The following is a 9,140-nucleotide window of genomic DNA, read 5'->3' on the forward strand; positions in this document are numbered from 1 at the left end:
TCTTGGCTCGGGAAGTTTCCTGTAAACTGGACACTAGCCTCACCTTACTTCCCTTTCAAAATTGGATCTAAGAATGCCAGAGCGCTTTCCTTTGAGCCTATCCTGCTCTTAAGCCTTCCATGGCTCCCCTCAGCTCCAGGGTAAAATGCGGGCTCCTTCCTTAGCTGCCCACTCAAAGGCCCTGTGGACGACCCTCATGCCTCATTTTATCTCCCAGGCATCTAATGCCAGACTTTTCTTTGTCCTCCCAAGAACACCCTGCTGCCTCCTACTTCTGAGTCTTTATTTGCTCAAGCAGTGCCCTCTTATCCAGAACATTCATCTCCAATGTGTAAAAGACATACCCATTCTTCAAAGCTGCTAAAATCCAGATTTGCATAATTTATAAGTTGATGGGACCTCAGAATGTCTAACCCAATATCTGTGTATTACATATGTGGAAACTGAGGCCTGAGTTGAGTCATGCTGGCTTACTTGTCCACAATCACACTGTAGACAAAAATTCAAATTCATGTCTAAGTCTCAGCCCACTGCCTTTAACATTCCACCCCAACCTGCATCTCCTCCAGGAAGCCTTCTCTGAATGCTGTGACTCACAGATCTTTCTTTCCTGTAAAATACTCCATTTACTCCTGGGACCCCTCAATCCCAGCTTAGGGCCTGCACCATCCTGCAGCACCAACTCTGGAACCCCAGTTACCCATGGTAGTGCTGACAGTATCACTGAGCTGACAGAAATTCTTGGGCTTGGCATTCAAGGCCTTGTCTCCACTGTGCCCCTTCCCACACCCACCATCCAGGATGACCTCTTCATCATCAGCCAGAGTACCTGGGTACTCTCTGGCACAACTGCCTGGTGCTTTGGAAAGAACACTGGACTGGGAGTCGGGAGAACTGGGTTTAGCCCCAGCTCAGCTGCTGCCTCCCTGTGGGGCCTTCAGCATATCAATTGATCCTCTGGGTCTCAGTTTCCTAGTCTATAAAAAGGGCCACTCATCCCTGATAACTTTATAGGGTTACCATGAGGGTCAGATGAGATACAATGTAAAAAGCATTTTATAAAATATAAGTTACCATGGAAATGTAAAATCTTTTCCTATTATTATTGCTTCATTAAAAGTTAAAAAAATTGGAATATGCTATTTTATAGGACTGACAAAATGTGTTTGTTTGCATCCATCTGTTTGCAAATTTTTTTTTTTTTTTTTTTTTGAGATAGAGTCTCGCTCTGTTGCCCAGGCTGGAGTGCAGTGGTGTGATCTCGGCTCACTACAATCTCTGCCTCCCGGATTCAAGTGATTCTCGTGCCTCAGCCTCCCAGGTAACTGGGATCACAGACATGTGCCACCACACCCAGCTAATTTTTGTACTTTTAGTAGTGATGTGGTTTCACCATGTTGGCCAGGCTGGTCTTGAACTCCTGACCTCAGGTGATCCGCCCACTTTGGCCTCTCAAAGTGCTGGGATTACAGGTGTGAGGCACCACGCTGGACCTCTGTTTGCAACTTTAAATGTGGTATCATTTAAATTTCCAGTGTTATAATAGGTGATGACAGCTACTATTTACTGAGCATCTACCATGTGCCAGGTGCTTTACATATTCATCCCATGAAATTCTCATAACAACCTATAAAGTATTAACATCCCAGTTTTTCAGATGAGAAAACTGAGGTTTAGCACACTAAAATGACATGCCCAACATCATACAATTAACTGGCAGAACCGGGCCTCAGTTCCTTAGTGAGTCTTTCTATCACTACCCTGTGTTTCTTTTTTTTTTTTTGAGACAGAGTGTTGCTGTGTCGCCCAGGCTGAAGTGCAGTGGTACAATTTGGGCTCAATGCAACCTCCACCTCCTGGTTCAAACAATTCTCATGCCTCAGCCTCCCAAGTAGCTGGGACTACAGGTGCGTGCCACCACGTCTGGCTAATTTTTATATTTGTAGTAGAGACAGGGTTTCACCATGTTGGCCAGGCTGGTCTTGAACTCCTGAGCTTAGGTGATCCACCTGCCTTGGCCTCCCAAAGTGCTGGGATTACAGGCATAAGCCACCGTGCCTGGCCAAGTAACCCTGTGATTCTTTATCCCCCTTCTGTAAGCTGAGTTTTTTCAGCACTGGTACCCTGGCATCTTTATTACCAACCTCCTTGTGCCTAGCACACAGGATATGGTACTTAGTAGATCTTGGAGAAACACATTCATTCATCTGCAAATATTTAATGAGTGCCAACTGTAATGCCAGGAACTACTCAAGGTGCTGAGGATAGAACAGTGAGAAAGACAGAGGCCCCTTCTCTTCCAGAACTGATATTTTGGCAAGAAGATGGACGATATACACATAAGAGTACATCTAGATGGTGTCTGGTAGTCCTGAGTTAGGAAGAGAAATGAAATTTGGGCAGAGATCAGAAAGAAGTGAAGGGGTGAGCCATGTGGAGATGGAGGGCAGTGAGAAGAAAGAAACAGAGGTTGTCACGAACATTCCCCAGTCACTGGCAGAAGCCAGAGCACTCTAGTCCCCATCACCAACTTCCAGTGGCAGAAATACAAGGAGACACTAAATATAAAGTCATGCATGCCTGTAATCCCAGCAAGCACTTTGGGAGGCCAAGAGGGGAGGTTTGCTTAAGCCCAGGAGTTTGAGCCCAGCCTGGGCAATATTGCAAGACCCCATCTCTATCTTTATAAAAAGCAAAAATATGGCCAGGTACAGTGGCTCACACCTATAATCCCACTACTTTGAGAGGCTGAGGCAGGTGGATCAGTTGAGGTCAGGAGTTCGAGACCAACGTGGTAAAACCCTGTCTCTGCTAAAAATGCAAAAAAAAATTAGCCGGGCGTGGTGGTAGGTGCCTGTAATCCCAGGTACTCAGGAGGCTGAGGCAGGAGAATTGCTTGAACTTGGGAGGCAGAGGTTTCAGTGAGCTGAGATCATGCCACTGTACTCCAGCCTGGGTGATGGAGTGAGACTCTGCCTCAATAATAATAATAATAATAAGTGAGACTCTTCCTCAATAATAATAATAATAATAATAATGATAATAATAATAATAATAATAATGTCATGTTGTTTTGGGGTTCAGAGAAACAACTGCAAGGCCAGGTGTGGTGGCTCACGCCTCTAATCCCAGTACTTTGGGAGGCTGAGGCAGGTGGATCACCTAAGTTCAGGAGTTCAAGACCAGCCTGGCCAACATGGTGAAACCCCATCTGTACTAAAAACATAAAATTAGTCAGGTGTGGTGGCACATGCCTGTAATCCCAGCTACTTGGAAGGCTGAGGCAGGAGAATCGCTTGAACCTGGGAGGCGGAGGTTGCAGTGAACCAAGATAGCGCCACTGCACCCCAGCCTGGGCAACAAGAGCAAAACTCCATCTCAAAAAAAAAAAGAAAGGAAAAGAAAAGATAAGAAAAACAACTGCATTTGTTCAGGATGTATGATCTATAGCTTAAGAACAACACGTGTAAAAATGACTAAGCTTTGGTCTAGTTTGAGCCACAAGAATGGGGAATGGTTGGTCAAAAAGTGATGATGGCCAGGCAAGGTGGCTTACGCCTGTAATCCCATCTCTTTGGGAGGCTGAGGCGGGAGGATCACTTGAGACCAAGAGTTCGAGACCAGCCCTGGCAACATAGCAAGATTCCATCTCTACAAAAAAGAAAAAAAAAAGTGATTACGATGCCAGATGGCATTGAGAGAGGTAGAAATGGGAGACACCTCTACTCCACATTAGTCAGGAGGGACACAGAAAATGGGAAGACTGTTCAGATGCGGGAGACCAAGACAGGGACAGATTCAAAACAAAACCTATGCACAGTGTCAGAAGGAATAGGTCCTCAGTTTCCCTATCTGTGTTATACAGGGGGTGAAGTCCAGTGTTCTGACATCTATAACTGTGAACCCTTCCAAACATTACAATAAAGGGCTAAACTGCTTAGTCCAGACTATGAAGTCCCGGAGGAGTTAAGGAGGAAGAAGTCAGTAAGGGCCAGAGAAGAAGAAATATCAGCCCTAACATCCTTTATTTACCTAGAATAAACTATAGCTAGTTTAGTCCATAAGGACAAGGACTGTGTCTGTCATGCTCACTCTCAAATCCTCACTATTTCACAGGGCCTGGTATATAATAGGTACTCAATAAATATAGTTAAGTGAAATGGATGTCAAGCTCTGTGCTACACATCACAAACATTGAGCCTCATTTTACAGATGGGGAAACTAAGGCTTAAACTCTGCCTCAAATCACACAGCTGCTAATAAGTTTGCTTCAGGGCTGGGCTTTGAGCCTAGATCTGTTTGCTTCTGTTATGCATACTCTTTTCTTCTGCTGTACAGTCAGGGAAGGCTTCCTAGAGGTGTGCTTTGCAGGGCCAAGGCAAGTAGATTGTTGCCCTGGTGCTCATATCGAGAAGCAGCCTCTCTCACCTGTGACTCTGGCCCACGCAGCAGGCTCCTGTCCTTGCTGGCTTGGGCTGCCTCCCACCTTGCCAGATCTCGGTGATAGAGGTCAAACACACAGGGTGAGCAGCCACTGCCGCAGCACTGGGAAGGCAAGGGTTCTGTGGGCCGTAGCTGCATCCAGGCTTCCTCAGTGTCGTCGTCCTCTTCCCTCTCAGCCATCATCAGTGGGGCTTGGGCAGCCTAGAAGGAACAACTGGGTGCTCTTCCAGAACAGGCCAGGCTCTATGAGACCACGGGCGCAGGCCCTGCTCCTTGGCCAGCCTGGGAGAGGGAAAACATGGGGGTTATTCTCTGGTCTCCTCTATTCCTCACATTCTCCAAAGCCTGCAGGTGCCAGGCTCTGTGCAAGCACTGGGGATGGAGATGGATCAGCCAAGGAGTGTGCTGTCTGGTGGGGAGCATTAACCACTTACTATCATTGGTTTTAGAAGGACAATCCCTCGTGTGAAGTGAATCTTTCTTTACTAGAGGAAAGGGTTTGGCTTCAGGAAACCTGGTTCTACTACTCATAAGCTCTATGACTTCAGGAAGGTTTAGCAGGGTGGGACCCCCTTGAGCACAGGAGGGTGTCTTATTCCTTTTGTATTCTATCACCAAGCATAGCTTGGCATATGGAAGAAAGGACATAACAATCAGAGCTGGTAACCAAGGTTTCCTGATCTGTTCCTGTGCTCTGAGTGCCAGCTGACACTTTATACAGAAAAGTCTCATTGAATTTTAAAAGATATTTTTTGTTTTGTTTTGTTTTGCTGAGATGAGGTCTCACTCTGTTGCCCAGGCTGGAGAGCAGTGGCATGATCACAGCTCACTGCAGCCTCAACCTCCTGGGCTCAAGCAATCCTCCTGCCTCAGTCTCCCGAGTAGCTGAGACTACAGGTGTGCACCACCATACCTGGCTAATTTTTTTTACTTACATTTTGTAGAGACAGGGTCTCACTATGTTGCCAGTCTGGTCTCGAACTCCTGGCCTCAAGTGATCTTCTCATCTCAGTCTCCCAAAGTGCTGAGATTACAGGCATGAGCCACCATGTCTGGCCCTAAAATGTTTTAAATGATAAAGTAAAATATATACCTACAACTCAATTACAAAAAATTAATTAAAAATACAAAAGAACACCTGTGTAACTACTACTCAGTCAAGTAAAAAGAATCTTGCCAGCATTCCAGAAGCCACCTGTGTCCCTTCCTGATAACTGCACTTCCCCAGGTGATAATTATTTCCTTTTTCCCCTAGTTTTGCCACCTTTGTTTGCAATCCTAACCACTACAGTTCAGCTTTGCCCAGAGTTTCATACAGCTTCTAAAATGGTGGCAACCAGGGTTTTAACTCTGGCATGTCTGGTTTCAAAACATATCGTTCTTCAATCACAGGAAACAGAAGAAGGTTGTGATGGTCCAGGTGAGATGATATGAGGACTGAGACCTGCAGCTTCAGGCAGAATGAGAAGACAGGGGTCAATGAGAGAAATACTGAAGAGGAAATTAACAGAACACTGAGACTGACTAGATGTGAGGGAGTGTGGGGGGACAGAGGGGTAGAAGGGACATCCAACCCCTCGGATCTGGCTTGGGTTTTGGGTAGACAGAAGGCTCAAGAAGAAGTTGAGTTTTAAGGGAAAGAAGAAGAGAGTTTGGTTTCAGGTATGCTGAGTGCCTGTGGAGCATCCAAGTACAAAATCCAGTTGTGAGTTGGATTAAACAAGTCTAGATATGAGTCTGGAGATGGAGGGACAGTGAAGAGAGAAAAACAGGTGCAGGTGAAGGCCTGCCTGGCTTCACTCCCTCCTGTGAGCACTCCATGCACTTGGTCCATCCCTGCTCATAAAAGCTGCTCATAAACACTTTTCTTTTTCTTTTCTTTTCTTTTTTTTTTTTTTTTGAGACAGAGTCTCACTCTGTTGCCCAGGTTGCCAGGTTGGAGTACAGTAGCATGATCTTGACTCACTGCAACCTCTGCCTCCTGGGCTCAAGTGATTCTCCTGCTTCAGCCACCCAAGTAGCTGGGAAAACAGGCGCCCAACACAATGCCCGGCTAGGTTTTATATTTTGAGTAGAGACAGGTCCTCCTGTGGGGACCTCTGTGAAGGGCATCTATGCATGTTCACAATGGCTGGCTTGCTGATGAGTCAGATGTGAGTTTGTTTTCCTCTTGCTACCTACGTCTACATGTAGCATATATGCTAATCCGACTTCAGTGAGGCTGTTTGACTGGCTAGGGTTTTCTCACTCTCAGTTGTTAGGGACAATCTGGCCCCTTTCCTAAATTTAAGAATCTCCTCTGCCTTGGCTGGGTGCGGTGGCTCATTCCTGTAATCCCAGCACTTTGGGAGGCCAAGGTGGGTGGATCACGAGGTCAGGAGATCAAGACCATCCTGGCTAACACGGTGAAACCCCGTCTCTGCTAAAAATACAAAAACAAAAAAATTAGCCGGGCATGGTGGTGGGCACCCGTAGTCCCAGCTACTCGGGAGGCTGAGGCAGGAGAATGGCGTGAACCCAGGAGGCGGAGGCTGCAGTGAGCTGAGATTGCGCCACTGCACTCCAGCCTGGGTGACAGAGTGAGACTCTGTCTCAAAAAAAAAAAAAAAAAAAAAAAAAAAAAGGGTGGTATCTTATTCTTTCTGTATTCTACCACCAAGCACAGCCGGGCATATGGAAGGTTCCCTATGACTGCTCATTCAGTTTACAGATACAATCTGGGAGCTAGGTGTTGGGAGGCAACAGAGGTAAACAGGTCATTGTTCCTACCTTCACAGAGCCTCATAGACTACAAGGTGTTAGATCAACCCAATTCATTTTTATTGCATGCTATGGACCAGGTATGCATTATGAGTGAATGAGGTCTGGTTCCCTCTTTATGCTGATTTCTTTTCTTTCTTTCTTTTTTTTTTTTTTGAGACAAGAGTCTCGCTCTGTTGCCCAGGCTGGAGTGCAGTGGCGCAATCTCAGCTCACTGCCAGCTCTGCCTCCCGGGTTCACATCATTCTCTTGCCTCAGCCTCCCGAGTAGCTGGGACTACAGGCGCCCGCCACCACGCCCAGCTAATTTTTTGTATTTTTAGTAGAGACGGGGTTTCACTGTGTTAGCCAGGATGGTCTGATCTCCTGACCTCGTGATCCACCTGCCTCGGCCTCCCAAAGTGCTGGGATTATAGGCGTGAGCCACCATGCCCGGCCTTTTTTTTTTTTTTTTTTTGAGACAGGGTCTTGCTGTGTTGCCCAGGTTGGAGTGCAGTGGTAGGATCACAGCTCACTGCAGACTCGATCTCCGAGGCCCAAGTGATCCTCCCATCTCAGCCTCCTGAGTACCTAGATCTATAGGTGCGTGCCATCACGCCTCGCTAATTTTTTTTTTATTATTTTTAGAGAGGAGGTCTCACCATGTTGCCCAGGCTGATCTCAAACTCCTGGCCTCAAGTGGCCCCTCCCACCTAGGTCTCCCAAAGTGTTGGGATTACAGGTGTGAACGATGACTGTAGGACTTCTCCACGTTTTAACAGTCCCACTTTCTCTGCTATTTTGGAAATTAGCAGAAAAGTTGGCCACGTCAGTCATGAATTTTAAAGAGTTGGTTCATGCGTCCTCTGAGCTCTATCTTTTCAGTTCAAGAGGCACCACCTTTAATCCAGGCCTTGACACATGTTGCCTCAGGCTGGATGACTTTTCCCACCCCGCAGGCCTTGGTTTTAAAGGTCACCTCCCTTCTGAGGTCCTCCCTGAACCTTCCCCTACTCATTCTCTATAAGGCACTCTATTTGTTTCTGTTATACACGCATTCACTAAACATATTTACTATGTGCCAGGCACTGTTCTCAGTGCTGGGGATATAGCAGTGAAGAAACAGAAACCCTTGCACTCACTGAGCTCATATCTTAGGGTGAGAAACAGTTATTAAGCAAGATCAGGATGGAAAACAGATGGTACGGTAGTGTGAAATGCTAAAGAGAAAAATAACTACGGAAAAGGGATAGGAAGTGTGTGTATCGCAGTTGACTTATTTGTTCGCGTTGTTTACCTGCGTTCTGTCTGCATCTCCCACTAAACTGTAAGCTCTACATCTCCCATCTGTCTTATTTACCAATGCCAACCGGGGCTCAGCGCAGCGCCTGACACACAGCAGGCAGCTGACAGACAGGTGTTGAGCAAGGAGCAAAGGCGCATCTTCATTGCTCTGTCCTTGCTTCTAGGAGGCGAATTGGGAAATCCAGAGGGAAAGGAAAAGCGAGGAAAGTGGCTCGCTTTTGGCGCTGGGGAAGAGGTGTACAGTGAGCAGTCACGCTCAGAGCTGGCTTGGGGGACACTCTCACGCTCAGGAGAGGGACAGAGCGACAGAGGCGCTCGCAGCAGCGCGCTGTACAGGTGCAACAGCTTAGGCATTTCTATCCCTATTTTTACAGCGAGGGACACTGGGCCTCAGAAAGGGAAGTGCCTTCCCAAGCTCCAACTGCTCATAAGCAGTCAACCTTGTCTAAGTCCAGGTCTGAAGTCCTGGAGCGATTCTCCACCCACCACGACCACTCACCTACTCGCCTGCGCTTCACCTCACGTGAGGATTTTCCAGGTTCCTCCCAGTCTCTGGGTAGGCGGGGAGCGCTTAGCAGGTATCACCTATAAGAAAATGAGAATGGGTTGGGGGCCGGTGCAAGACAAGAATATCCTGACTGTGATTGGTTGAAT

General features: G+C 47.0%; 1 protein-coding gene across 5 annotated transcripts in view; it reads right to left on the reverse strand.

Moving 5' to 3' along the window:
- CYB5RL (cytochrome b5 reductase like) overlaps nucleotides 1–9,040 on the reverse strand; it is a 30,380-nt gene extending 21,340 nt beyond the window's left edge. For all 5 annotated transcript variants that reach the window (NR_148414.2, NM_001353353.2, NM_001353354.2 and 2 more), the window contains exons 1-3: nucleotides 8,986–9,040; nucleotides 5,379–5,501; nucleotides 4,429–4,725 (exon numbers count right to left, since the gene is read on the reverse strand). Coding sequence is in view for 3 of the 5 variants with exons in the window: in NM_001353353.2 (NP_001340282.1) it covers nucleotides 4,429–4,626 (198 nt within the window). In the remaining 2 variants the exon portion in view is untranslated. The remainder of the gene's footprint in view (nucleotides 1–4,428; nucleotides 4,726–5,378; nucleotides 5,502–8,985) is intronic.

This window comes from Homo sapiens, chromosome 1 (assembly GCF_000001405.40).
Source record: "Homo sapiens chromosome 1, GRCh38.p14 Primary Assembly".
Taxonomy (NCBI): Eukaryota; Metazoa; Chordata; class Mammalia; order Primates; family Hominidae; genus Homo; species Homo sapiens.